The sequence below is a fragment of the Homo sapiens genome, chromosome 7 (assembly GCF_000001405.40).
Source record: "Homo sapiens chromosome 7, GRCh38.p14 Primary Assembly".
In the NCBI taxonomy this organism is placed as follows: Eukaryota; Metazoa; Chordata; class Mammalia; order Primates; family Hominidae; genus Homo; species Homo sapiens.
The window spans coordinates 48,337,458-48,351,770 of NC_000007.14; the positions used below are offsets into that span (position 1 = coordinate 48,337,458).

General features: G+C 38.7%; 1 protein-coding gene across 27 annotated transcripts in view; it reads left to right on the forward strand.

Annotated features, from left to right (window-relative positions):
* ABCA13 (ATP binding cassette subfamily A member 13) overlaps positions 1–14,313 on the forward strand; it is a 476,040-nt gene that overhangs the window by 166,000 nt on the left and 295,727 nt on the right. For 26 of the 27 annotated variants that reach the window (XR_926914.3, XR_926915.3, XR_926919.3 and 23 more), the window contains 2 exons: positions 908–998; positions 13,186–13,362. Coding sequence is in view for 24 of the 27 variants with exons in the window: in XM_011515130.3 (XP_011513432.1) it covers positions 908–998; positions 13,186–13,362 (268 nt within the window). In the remaining 3 variants the exon portion in view is untranslated. Of the gene's footprint in view, positions 1–907; positions 999–1,440; positions 2,602–13,185; positions 13,363–14,313 lie in introns of those variants that run through there. The other variant, XM_011515147.3, reaches the window with a different exon arrangement.

Consider the following 14,313-nt stretch of genomic DNA (forward strand, 5'->3'; position numbering starts at 1 on the left):
ATTAGTTAAAACTATCACATGTAATAAGGTGAATGTGAGAAATAAAAGAGCTAATTACAAAGGGCACATATTACTTGAGAATTCCTATATGGACCTCTTGTGCTATTAGGTTATGTGCTGGACCAAAATCTGGATAGTGTACAAATATTCTCCAAGAAATTGGCAAATTCCAAAATTAATTCCCAGTCATTGATCCTGAGGCAGAGCCTGGATACATCAGTATCTTTCCCTCTCAGCTTCTTGTTGGTTGTTGTATGTTGTAAGTGTCAGGCAGTGCAATGCAAGTACATGGATATCAATGGCAAAATAAAGGGGCAAGATGTCATGAAGTTGATGAAAAAATCTTGGAGAACTCTCCACAGTAAACAATTTGTCTCCAATCATTGAAAAATGAGGCAAAGTCACAACCATCAATAATAACGAGAGAAGAATGGTACAGATGAAGCAATGAAAGATGCTTCCGAAGATGAATAGCCAAACATTGAGAGAGGGTTTGGGAAATTCTGAAATCCTCCTTCAGAGTTTTCATAACAATGACCCTCTGTTTACAACTGGCCTCTGGGAAAGGCCATGCAAAGGAAAGGAATCTTATAGAAAGGTTCATTATATAGGTTCGTTTGAAAATTTTGCCAAAAACAAACCACTTAATTCATTCTTTGTTTTTAGTATTAACACATAATTACAACTACAACATAAATTTTCATAATTGTTGATTTTGTTTTTCAAGGTAAGCTTCTAATAAGATATTATCCTGTTATTTATTGTGGTGTTTTAAAACTTCTTTTAAGTGGATTCAGTTTATGTGCCTTGTTCCTTTGTAATGAAACTTTGAATAAGTCTAATAAGTATTATTCAATAATACGAAATAATGCAATTATTTTTATTAAGCTATATTATTTTTCTTTAGGAGGCCCTGAGAAACAAATTTGTAAGAAACTTTGTAGAAAACCAGTTGCACATTGATGTAGACAAACTTACTGAAAAACTCCAGACATACGGTAAGTGTGCTGATGGGCATGGTAGTGTTCTTCTGCCCATATGGCTCTGCCACTTGGGTGGGTCCTCCCCCTTGGGCCATGGCATTGCTAGGTGACTTCCAGCAAGTCACTTTTCCTCTCTCAGTTTCTATTTTCTTATCTGGATCCTGAAGGGCTTGAACTAAATACTCCCCAAAGTTTGTTTCATACCTGAAGTTTTTTCGATTCACTGATTCAGGACTTAACTAGTAAAGAACCTAGTTAAAAAGGAAGTTTTCTGATTCAAACACAAGAATTGTGAATTACAAAACAAGTTTATAAAAGAAATTATTATTATTATTGAGTTAAAAGTAACTTGAAAGCCATTGCATAGATTTGAAAATGGGAAGCTCAGATAAAAACATTACCTATCAGTAAACATTTATTGTACCTCTGCAATTGATGTATCTGTGAATTCATTTAGGTGTTTTAACAAACATTTGCTGGACACACGAGGAGAGCCAGTTCCATGAAATAATCCATAGAGGGGCATAAAATATTCCTGTTCCACCATGCAGTGCAGAGAAGAAGATGACCATGCTTAGAAACTGCAACACTGTGGCAAAATCAGCGATCAGGGCCCTGCCAGAGAAGCTCTCAGGAGCCTAACCCAGTTGGTGGGGACCTGGAGTCAGAGGGAGGATGGGTGTCAGGCTGTTCCAGGTCCCTGGCTCCCTCACACTCTGCTTGTACATGGGAAAGGGTTTCGGATCTGCCTTACATATGAAAGTTAGAGGAAGGCAAGACATTTTATTCGGCATAATATAGTACTTCCCTTTAAAAAAATTTCTGGTGAATGCAATACTTAATATTTTACTTCAGAAAGGTTAATCATATTTTAAAATGTTTCATATTTTAAATGCATTACATAATTTTTTCAATTAATTAAAACACCTTTAAAAGAAGAAGTAGCACTGGAAAGTTTATAATAATAGTGTCCCCATCTTCTGTTGCTGGAACCAAGGACTGACATGGGTCTGAGAGATTTCCTGTGTGGAACGCAGATGTCTCCTGAGTTTGCGTCTACCATGGTGCTAGTGTTAATGCAGATGTCTTAGAGTGTGAATCGTACCTGAGCCACATTTGTTCAACATGTTGCTGCTTAGCCAACAGTACATTTGAATAGGTTTTCCCACATGTAAACTTCTATTGTAAAATTAAGAGAAAGTTCCCCAGAAATTTAGAACTTTTCCTACAAGTGTGTTGGGACACAGAATATGAGATTCACATGGAATTTTGAGATCCATGAGGTGTGATCCTCTCTTCTTTCTGCTTCCGCCTGACGCTAGAGATTGAAGACCATATCATCCAGGTGAATGTTGGTTATTTTCCATCCGACCCTGTACAGCCCTCTGGGAGCAGGCACAGAGTGGGGTCAGGCATTCACGGGTGGGGTGGCGGTGGGGGATTGATCACTGACCAGATGCAAATCTCCTTTTGTAACTATGCTAACAAATGAACTCACCTTACTGCATGCACCCTTTTAAAATTTATACCTAGGTCATACTCACTTTTCTTCATCCTATAAACAGTACCTGGAAACTGAGGTGACTATTTGAAGATATACTGATGCAACTTTTGGGAATATTTGCCCAATCATGCTGTCATTTTTATTCATTATATAACTTTCATTTTATTTTTATTTTTTTTAGACAAGAGTTTTGCTCTTGTCATCCAGGCTGTAGTGCAATGGTGCAATCTCAGCTCACTGCAACCTGCGACTTCTGGGTTCAAGCAATTCTCCTGTCCCACCCTCCTGAGTGGCTGGAACTACAGGTGCGCACCGCCATGCCCGGCTAATTTTTGTATTTTTAGTAGAGATGGGGTTTCACCAAGTTGGCCAGGTTGGCTCGAACTCCTGACCTCAGGTGATCCTCCTGCCTCGGCCTCCCAAAGTGCTGGGATTACAGGCGTGAGCCACTGCGCCTGGCCTCATTATATAACTTTAAAAAATAACTTTTTGCTTTATTACAAAAAGTATATATGTCTGTTGTAGAAACATTAGAAAATACAAATAAGCCAGAAAACAAATCCACCTATAATCTTATCACCACAGATAGCTATTTTAAAAGCCTCGGAGTTCTTTTTTAGGTGAATTTATATGTACTCATATGAAGATAAGAATATGTATTTTCACAAAAATGATTATACTGTTCACATAATTTTGTTACCTGAGTCTCCTGAGTTTGCATCTACCATGGTGCTAGTGTTAATGCAGATGTCTTAGAGTGTGAATCGTACCTGAGCCACGTTTGTTCAACACATTGCTGCTTAGCCAACACTACTTTTGAATAAGTTTTCCTATTCAAAAATTAAGATTATTATAAAAGTTTTTCATATCTATAAATATTGACTGTTACTAAGAAAAAGTCCCTTCATCTAGCTCTGCCTTCCATTTCACTCCATAGTATGAATTTAAAATTACTTAGGAATTTCTTTGGGATCGGTCCTTATATTTCTAACTGATACACCTACGGCAGTATTTCTTGATTTATTTGTTACAGGAATTATCAATTGATTTCTTGTTCTGAAAGATGCAGATTTAGTTTTGTACTACATCATTTCCCTGATCAGTTGCTCCCACTATGGTAATATGACCATTTTAGTAGTTATAAAACAGTATGAGGAGATAAATGTTGTTCAGTGCAGAGTCAGGCTATGCATTATAATGACATTCCCTTATTTACCATGTTTCCCTTTTCCTAGAGTTTCATGCTCTCTTGCTACTACATGAAACACCTGTTCTCCATTGCTCCCAGCTCTGTGTGCCAACACATCACCTTTATGTTGAGTCATTTTGTCTGTGCAGACGCCACCCAGACCCCCTACCATGCTCCACCTGGGCAGGCTAGCCGCTCCTGCCAGCACCCAGCTGCTTTCCTAGGAATTCTCTGCTCTGCTCTCCTGGGGTGGATACCATGATTCCTGGGCTCTAGGTCCTCATTTTTGTTTTGTTGTCATGTTTTGTGGGTTCATATTAATCAGTGTAGTCTTGAAAAAGAGAATGAGAGAAAAAATTCCTGAGTGATTTTACTCAGTAAAGTAAAATTACATCTGAATGATATGTGGAAATATCCTCTATTTCATTACCAATAATTTTGCATCTCTTCTTTCTCTCTCCTTTTTGCTTTTAATCAGTCTTGTCAGAGGGTTATCAATTTTTATTAGTCTTAAAAAAACCCACCGTTTATGGCCTTATATTTCATTTGATTTCATTGATTTCTGCTCTCTATTGGTTTTTTCCTTTTGCCCTGTGTGTGTGTATGTGTGTGTGTTTGGTAACTTCTTGAGATGAATACTTAAATTATTCATGTCCACCTTGTCTTCTTTTCTTTTCTGATATATATATATATCTTTCTGATATATATATATATATCTTTCTGATATATATATATATATCTTTCTGATATATATATATATATCTTTCTGATATATATATACTCATATATATATACTCATATATATATATTCATATATATATACTCATCACTAGACACTTCCCTCTGGCATTACCTTAACTGCATCTCACTAATTTTGATATCTTGTATTTTCACTCTCATTCAGTTAAGCATATTTTAAACATGTGGTGTAATTTCCTTTTTTTTTCACCTTTAGGTTATTTGAAAGACTATAGCTTAATTTCTAAATATTTGGTATTATTTATTTATCTTTGGGTTAATGACTTCCAGCTTTACTTCACAGTGGTAAGATAATGTACTTCGCTAATACGATTTCATTTGCTTAACATTTATGGAGACTCACTCAATCCTTGCACACAGGGTCAGTTTTGGTTCCTGCATTGTTGGGTGCCGTCTTGAGCATCCTCACTGTCTCCTTGTTCCATCAGCTCTTAAGAGGTGTGTGTTTACATTTCTCGTTATGACTGTGGGATTGCCTATTTCTCCTTGAGGTTCTGTCCACTTAGGCTTTATATACTTTAAGGCTGTATTGTATTTTCTGTTGAGGACTTGTTTGAGACATTTATATTTTCCTTTGTTTGTATTTAAATTATCTTCCAGCCTCTCCCCCTTCTTTTACTTCTTTATTTCTTTCCGGAAGTTTTTCTGTGACTGACTTAGTTATGGTTTCTTATGAGAATCCTCTTTTGGCTCTGTAGCATTTCTTGAATCAGTGGCCAAATATCTTATATTTGGGGAAAGTCTTGGCTACTATCTTTTGAAGCATTGCTTCTGATCACTTCTCTCTCTGCTTTCCTCTGCAACTCTTCTAAACAAGATGAAAACTTTTCACAGTGTTCAATGCTTCTTATTTCCTTTTCTATATAATCCAACCTATTTTCTCTTTATACTTCAGTTTGTGATTTCTTTTCTTACTAGTTTTTTAATCGACAAATTCTCTCTTCAGCTGGGTCTAATCTGCTATTAAACATACCAATGAAGTTCTTCATTTCAGTTGTTGCATTTTCCGCTTAAAATTTAAATTTTCTTATTTTAAAATAGTTTTTAGCTCTCTGGTGAAAGTCTATTTTCATCTAATTTTGGACACAATACTCACATAAGTCTATTTTCATCTAATTTTGGACACAATACTCACATTTTGGAAGTGCATGTTTGTGAGCTTTAATACTTGTCTTTTGTGGGTATTTTTTTAGTCTATTTTTCTCTTGCTTTTTTTTTTGGTTATTTTTCTTGTCTTGTCTCCAGGAATATTAAGGATTAAAAAAATTGAAACCAGACATTATAAATGGAAAATTGTAGAAATAAATTTGAGTCTCCTGATAGTGCTATATTCCTCTAGATAATGTTATTTTCCTGCTTGTGGCAGAGAGCTAGGGCAGGGCCACGTTTTCCTAATCCATTTGGGGATGGAGTGGATTGATGGAGGTAGACTTCAGCCTTAGTAGGGAAATTTCCAGTTTCCTGTACTCCTGGATAGATTCCCTATTTGGGTGGGGTGGGGATCTCACCTATAAAGCTGATACCGATTAGGGCCCATGTAGATCCAGAGCTCAAAGTCCCGTGGACCACTGGAGACTCAGCCTCTCAGTTTTTGGCAGGATCAAATACCAGGCTTCCCAAGGTTCTCTTTTCTCTTGCATCTCTGACCTTTGAGCTTTTGCTGCCTTGGTAGCTCTTTAAAGTCTTTATATAGATTTTCTTTTTTTTTTAATTTCAATAGGGTTTTGGGGAGCAGGTGGTGGTTGGTTATATGGATAAGTTCTTTAGTGGTGCTTTCTGAGATTTTAGCGCAGCCATCACCTGAGCAGTATACACTGTACCCAATGTGTAGACTTTTTTAAACTTTTAAACTAAAGTCTTTATATAGATTTTTTAAAGGCCATTCATATTTTCTGGTTGTTCTTGGAAGGAAACTTCATCTGCCCCACATTGTCCTCCATTACTCTAAGTGGGGTTTCCTCAATATGACCTTTCAATCTGAAGACGACAGCTCTTCAATTAAGGGGAGTTTTCTTGTCATCATTTCTTTGATATTTTTACCTCTCTATAAAAATAATGCTATTTTAACTTTAGTTTATTTTAAAATTACTATTACTGTTTTCTATTTGTTTATTTTGAGTTCTCTCTTTCATGTTGAAGGGTTCACTTAAATGTTTGGTGATATTATGTGTGAAGCATTAAAACCAGACTGAAAGTGATTTGGTGAGTAGAAGTTATTGTGACTCAGTTCATATCAGTAGTTCTCAACTGAGGATGATTTTGTCCTCTAAGGGATGTGTGGTTATGTCTGGAGATATTTTTGGTTGTCACAGCTGGTCACAGCTACTGCCACCTAACAGGTAGAGGCTAGGGGTACTGCTAAACATCCTACACTGCATGGAACAGCCCTCCACAGCAAGGAATTATGTGCCCAAAGTGTCTGTAGGGCCTAGGTTGAGAAACTCTCATTTAGAGCAATAAGATGGAGTCACTTCTTGAAAACAAATTTCAGGAGGAGACACGTTGGAATGTCAAATCCTCTGGTCTGTTTTGGCTGATGCCTGCCATGTCTGGGGTCCTCAGGTATATACACTGAATGGTGAACAATCGTTAACTTGTATTATTCTCTGGGGCTTGGCCCCACATTAGTGTAGAATTTTATACTATGTTGTTTTATGTCCACCTATATGTGAACCTCAGTATTGTTTTTGCCCTTTCAGACTTAAAGTAGCCTGTGTTTCTTTACCACATAGGGTTTCACATGGGCCCTATGTGTTTTTCTTGGCTCATTTTTCCTATATATTGTGAGATGAAGCAACCCAATAAGAGCTGTGATTCTAGGACTCTTACCAGAGGCTTTGCCCATTCGTGTCCTGTCCTCTGTAATCCATCTTTCTCTCATAGCAGTGCCCTCATCATTTAGGTTGGGGAGTGTACTCAAGGTCTCCAAAGTGATGGAACATGCAGTTAATACTAGACCACATTTTATTTTTATTATATCTAGTCCATTGTGCAGGAACTATTACCCAACAAAGATATTGCTTCTTTCCTCCCAGAGGAGGGAGATCTGCCCAGTGTCCTAAGACCTAAGAGTTTTTGTGTGGAGCTGCTTTTCTAAGTTGTAGTTAATGCCACATAATAACATTTTAGTCAACATTGATCTGCATACATGATGATGTTCCTATAAGGTCATAATGAGCTGAAAATTCCTACTGCCTAGTGACTTTGTAGCTGTCAGCACATTGTAGAACAACACATTACTCACTTGTTTGTGGGGATGTTGGTGTAAACAAACCTACTGCACTGCCAGTCATATAAAAGTCTAGCACACACAATTATGTACAGCACGTAATACTTGATCATCGTAATAAACTACTGTTATTATTGGTGTATGTGTTTAATTCAATTCAGAGTGTACTTCATATATATATTTATGAGTTAAGTGTAAAGCAGCCTCAAGTAGGTCCCTCAGGAGGTATCCAGAAAAATCCATTGCTAGCACAGGAGATGACAGCTCTGCGTGTGTTAGTGCCCTGAAGACCTCCTTCCAGTGGGACAAGAGGTGGAGGTGGAAAAAAGTGATATTGATGATAATGACCCTGTGTAGGCCTAGGCTAATGTGTGGTTTTGTGAGTTAGTTTTTAACAAAAAATTTAAAAAGAAAGAAAAAACCTAAAAATAAAAACAAGCTAGCTCATAGAATAAGGATGTAAAGAAAATATTTTTGTACAGCTGTACAATGTGTTTTGTATTTTAAGCTAAGTATGATTACAAAAGGGTCAAAAAGTCAAAAAATTAAAAAGTTTATAAAGTATAAAGTTATAGTAATCTAAGGTTAATTTATTTTTGAAGAAAAATTTAAAAAATAAATTTAGTGTAGCTTAAGTATACAGTGTTTATAAAGTGTATAAAGTTTATAAAGTGTACGGTAATGTCCTAGGCCTTCACATTCACTCACTGCTCACTGCCTCATCAGAGCAACTTCCAGCCTGCAAGCTTTATTGGTGAGTACTCAATCTAAGTGTATCATTTAATACCATATAAAATCTTTCATATCATATTTTTATTATACCTTTTCTATGTTTAGATATGTTTAGATAAACAAATCCTTACCATCGTGTTACAATTGCCTACAGCATTCAGTACAATAACATTCTATGCAGGTTTGTAGCCTAGGAGCAATAGGCTATGCTATACAGCTAGGTGTGCAGTAGGCTGTACCATCTAGGATTGTGTAAGTCCACTCTGTGATGTTCACACACGATGAAATTGCCTAATGCTGCCTTTTTATGCCGCATTTCTCAGAATGCATCCTCATGATTAAGTGATGCATGGCTGTAAGATGTACCTATGTCTCCCAATTATATGCATGATAAGAAAGCTTAAAGCCTTCTCCAAAGCAGTTCCAGTTCTGCTACTGGAAGATAATGAAAGTCACACTATAGTGAGACCAAGTCACTCTTCACTGTGTTTAACATCTGCTGTTTTATGCAGTTAAATTGTTTAACCACGCTTGCTAGGCAAGCTTATAGTGCAGCCTATTCCAAATAACAAATGGTCAGCAACACACAGATACAGTAGAAAAATGTCTCCAGTTTGCCCTACACCGAGAAATTTAACAATCTCCACTTCTCCATTAAAAAAAAAAGCCCCCCACAATGCACAATATACTTTTTGGTTTTCTATTTTCTAGTTGTTATGCTTACTTTCATGCAGAAAAGTTAATTAAAGATATTCAGTTGGAGCCTCGCTCTCTCCTTATAGCTGTTACATGATAATAGTTAGCACTTACTGTAAATCAGTTTATAGTGTATATATAAACTTCAACTACATTTACTTTTCACAGCAATTTCATGGGTAATTTTGCTTTTCTTATGCTACAGATGAAGAAAGTGAAACTTTTATAGATTAAATAACTATCTAATGTGAAACAAGATAAATAGTGCAATTGCCATGGGAGCAAAGCCATGTCTTGTCAGCTTTGAAGCACCAGTGACCTGCACTCCTGGAGCAGTGACAGCAGGGGTCAATGCCACTTCTATGTTCCCAAACCAGGTTACCCCAGCCCATGTATTTAGTGGGTCTTGCTTTTTGATGCCTCCCATGGCTATAATTGCCCATAAGAATATCCAAGTTTAGCCTCATACCCACACTATTTAGAAATCAGAAGAACCCTCAAGGGAGTTTTCATCACAGCCATTGCATACCCCATAAGTACCAGTCATTACAGTAGCATTTCACAGCACTGCTGTCTCCAGAACCTGATACCTCAATACTTCTAGCAGGTACTAGGTGGTGTTCCAGGGCCCATGGAAAATCATGGAATAAACATGATGAAATGTCCAAAGGAATCACTTTTGCAGCAACATTTTGGGGAAAATGAGACATAATTTTATATACTGAAACAAATGAGTAGACTAGTACAATATAACATTTTCACACACAAAAATCAGTTATTTCACGGAATTTTCACCTTCTCAAGGCTCATCCAGGATCCTGTCTTCTTCTCGCACACCCTTGTATCCACCCTCCTCCCTGGGTGGAGTAATTTGAGAAGTGCAATGCAACAAGGCACCGTCAGCACAGTATGCTGGAGTCACCAGCCAAGGGCTGGTTCAGAGATTTGGTGCCATCTTAAAGAAGGAAATAGATAGAGAAAACAGACAAGAAATGTTAAGAACTGCTGGTGTCAGCACTGGCTCCGCATCAGCCAGTCCAGGCCAGCTGTCCAGCCCCAGCCCTCTGTGTTCCCACAGCAGATAAATTGGGATGCTGAGTGTTTCATTTTGGTTAGGTGGAGGTGGGGCTGGAAATCTGGAAAGTCCCCTGCCACACAGGACATTGCTTTGTGCTGTGCTACCTGAACTGTTATTGGAGTCTTAAAGCAAGATAAAGGCAGTGGAGTTTGTCTCCTCCTCTACTGGAAACAATTTTATATAGTGTATTAATAACCGTTATACTAGGAAATAGTTATTGAGTGCTCTCTATGTGCCAGACACAGTGTCAAGCATGTTACACATTATTCTACTTCATCTTTGGAAAAAGACCATTGAGCAGATGATTATCATTTCCCTTCCATAAAGAGGGCGAGGATTATTCAGCCTCAGATGCCCACTGAGGGGTGGTGAGCAGGCACCCAACTCCATCTGACCCATAGTCCACAAGGCCCAGTAGACGGTGGAGATCCTGTGTCCCTATCTCCAGGCCAAATGGGCACCATGCCAAGATAAATTCTTTAAACCAAGCCACATGACCTCTTGTTGAGTGAGGTGGGCTGGACCAGACTGCTAGCCACCCTCTAATCCTTCCACGTCAGTGCTGAGGGAAAGGCCTCACTGGTGGGCCTTACAGTGGCTCGGAGGCTCAGAACTTTTCCAAGGAACTCTGAGATGCTGTGTCCCAGTTGGGGGACTCCGGGGACTCATGACACTCTGAGGCAGAAGACTCGACGCTGTGGATCCTTCTAGCTCCTCTTTGATTGTGTCATCCAAACAGCCAAAGGTCCTTTTCTGCCTTAAACCTTAGAAAGTGTTGACTATAAAACTAAATGAGAAATGAAAACTGCTGTGCAATTACATGTTTCTGCTATTGACGCCATTTGAGAACTCTGGCTTGAGCTATTTTCTTCTCACTGATTTTTCCAATGAGCGTGTTTTATTCTTCTATGAATTCAGTTTGACGGTCTTAACTTAACCAGGCCCTTCAGGCTCTACCAAATTGGGAATTACAGGAGGATTTCTATGAGATGTGTGTGTGAGCTCTGATGGCAATAGTTAATTGATCTTATTTACTAAATGGCTTTATGCCTTTTTTATATCTTTTATTTCTCTCTGGAAAACAGTACCAAGATTTTCATTCTTTCTGAAATATAGATGATAAATCTCAGGCTTAGAGACTGGCTCTTTCAGAGCCCTACAATATTTGGTGGAATCAAGAACCCAATTCTTTGAATTCTGGATCATGTAATTCTTCTACTATGTGTTAGGCAGGGCTGTCTGGAATTCCTGATGTTTGAATATTTTTAACACACAGTAAGCAGAAGTTTCATATGGTTCCACTCAATATAAATGCAGCCTGGTGTATTTGTAAGAAGGTGGACCCAAAAGCTAGATGGCATGTGTTTGAATCATGGTTTTGAAACTTACTGGTTGCTTATACTCTTTGTGCCTTAATTCCTATACTTTAAAATGAACATGCCACTAGCAATTCCCTATAGATATAAGGGTTCAGTGAGACAATACACAAGTGCCCAGAATTGTACCTGGCACAAGACTGACACTCATACAGTGACACTTCACTATTATTGTAGATATTTAGCAAAAGCTTAATTATCAGAAATCCAGCCTTCCCAAATCCTTACACTCATGTCTTGGCCTGAGATCGGCAAATTACTGGAACATAATAACAGCAGTTACAACATAATGAATAACAGTCTTTTCTTTGAGAAACTGTGCAATGTAGGTTGAGGGGATGAAGGGCAGAAGGAGCCCGACACTTCTTGATGTTGTTTGGCAGCTTACATGTTCTCATCCATCTGAAGTTGGCAGATGGAAACTAATCTTTCCTTACCAGGGAAGAAGTTGAGGCCAGGACATGTCAACTGATTTTTCTACAGACCTCAGGATGATGGAGATGCATCTTCATGTAGTTTCTTATTCAGGGCTGGCCCCCCTTTACAGAGCCCCAACACCCCTTTCAAACATGGGCTGGGTGCCAAGCAAGCAAAACCCAGACTTAATCCAGAAACCTTGGAAGCCAGGAGGATCTGGGAGCAGGGAAACCAGTAGAGGAGGGAAGCAAGCATGAGAGGCAGAGGCAGCTGTCAGTGGGTACTGATGCTGCCATGTCCGGGGACAAATGCCCACAGGATGGCAGGTAGGCTCCAAGCTTCGATGGAGGGTGGAAATGAGCACAGGGAGCAGCTCACATCATTTGGAAAGTTGAGTGTTCAGGAGGTCAGTGAGATACAGGAGGGCCAGCAGGAAGCAGTGACTGCACACAGGGCCAGGGATAGACTGTTGTCTGTCACCATACATCTTTCCTGCTGCTTTCCCTCTGGAGGTCATGTTCTGGGCATTCCCACGCTGCCTTGCTCTAGATCATTTGGTTTTTCCAGCTCCTTCCTGAAACCAGAGTGAAAATACTGAGATATCCTCAGCCTTTTGCCCTGAAAATGTTTGATGTCAGCATTCATAGCCAAGGTGTTGCGACTTTACTCTGCTGCTCTATTTATGTTTCGAATGCACAGATCCAGGACAAAGACTACACAAGGATTTGGTTTCCTCAGTGTCCATGCTCCTTGATAATTGCTTTTGCAAAATTAATTTAATAAAATGACTTTCCCAAAATGACTGCTTCAGGGAAGGCGTGTTTTTTTTAGAATTGCTTGACTCCAGGTTGGAACTTTTTTTTTCCCCTGAACTCTCTGTGAGAGGGTCTTTCCTATCACATGTAGACTTTCCTTCTGTTGTTTATCCTGTTGTCTCCAACTGTGTTTCCTTAGGCTGCTGTATTACCCTTTGTGCTTTAACTGTTTTTTTTTCATGTACATGTATCAGTGTTACAGAGCATGTGTATAAAAGTGTAGAGTTTACACTCAGCAAGTAAATGCCAAATTTCACATATGACCAAAATTTGACTCTTTTGAGCAATTTTTTAGTGGAAGAATTCATATTCATTTTCAAATCCATTTGCACAATCTCCACTATATGAGTGGTAAGCACTGGGGGGATACAGAAGTTGATGTGTCCTAATCTGTTCACTTTCCTCAGGAGGGCTGCTGGATGAGATGTTTAACCATGCAGGCGCTGGACGCTTCCGTTTCTTGGGCAGCATCTTGGTCAATCTCTCTTCCTGCGTGGCACTGAACCGTTTCCAGGCTCTGCAGTCTGTCGACATCCTGGAGACTAAAGCACATGAACTCTTGCAGCAGAACAGCTTCTTGGCCAGTAAGTACTCAATGAAAAAATATGTTCGCCAAGATGCCAACTCCTGTAAGTTGTCATTTTGGGAGTTTCTCCCTAAAGGTGTCTTATGATAGCTCAGAAAGAAAAGAAGTCCTTTCCAGATAAAACATAAAATAAAGCAGAACTGTTTACCTTGGATAAAACATAAAATGAAGCAGAAATATTTGCCTTGGTTAATGAAAAGTTGTACCTTATGCCATAGTGACTAATAACGTTTTCACCATCCTAGGACCAATGCTATTTACTGCATCTGCTTTTACCCTTTTATAACATCATGTTCTAGTTAAATCTCACACCATAAGTTATATTATTCCCGATTAAAGTTATACTCTAATTTCCTGCATCACCTTTCCTTTTATCAGAGTATCTTGATATCCTGGTTGGGGCGGAGAGCAGGCAATGGCCAACTCTGCTCCATTATTTAATTGTTCACCCATTCAAGATAAATATGGTGGTGCTCTCATATTCTTTTGGAATACACATTGAATTATTTTTAATTGAGGTTTTGTATTAGTTTCTTAAGGTTGCTGTAACAAAGTATCGCAGACTAAAACAAGAGAAGTTTATTGTCTTAGAGTGCTGGAAGCTAGATATTCCGGATGGAGACATCCACTGGTTTTTCCTGCGGGCTATGAGGAGAGAATCTTCTCTAGGCCCCTCTCATTGGCTTGTAGGTGGCCATCTTCTCCCTGGGTTTCTGCACCTCATCTTCCCTCTATGTATTTCTCTGTGTTTAAGTTTCCCTCTTTTTATAAAGACACCTTCATATTGAGTTAGGGCGCACCCTAATGGCCCTCATTTTAACTTGATTACTCTTTAAATGTTATCTCCAAATATAGTCACATTCTGAGGTACTGGGGGTTAGGACTTCTACATATGAATTTAGTAAGGGACACGATTTAGCTGTGATAGGCTTTATGCATACAATTCAAA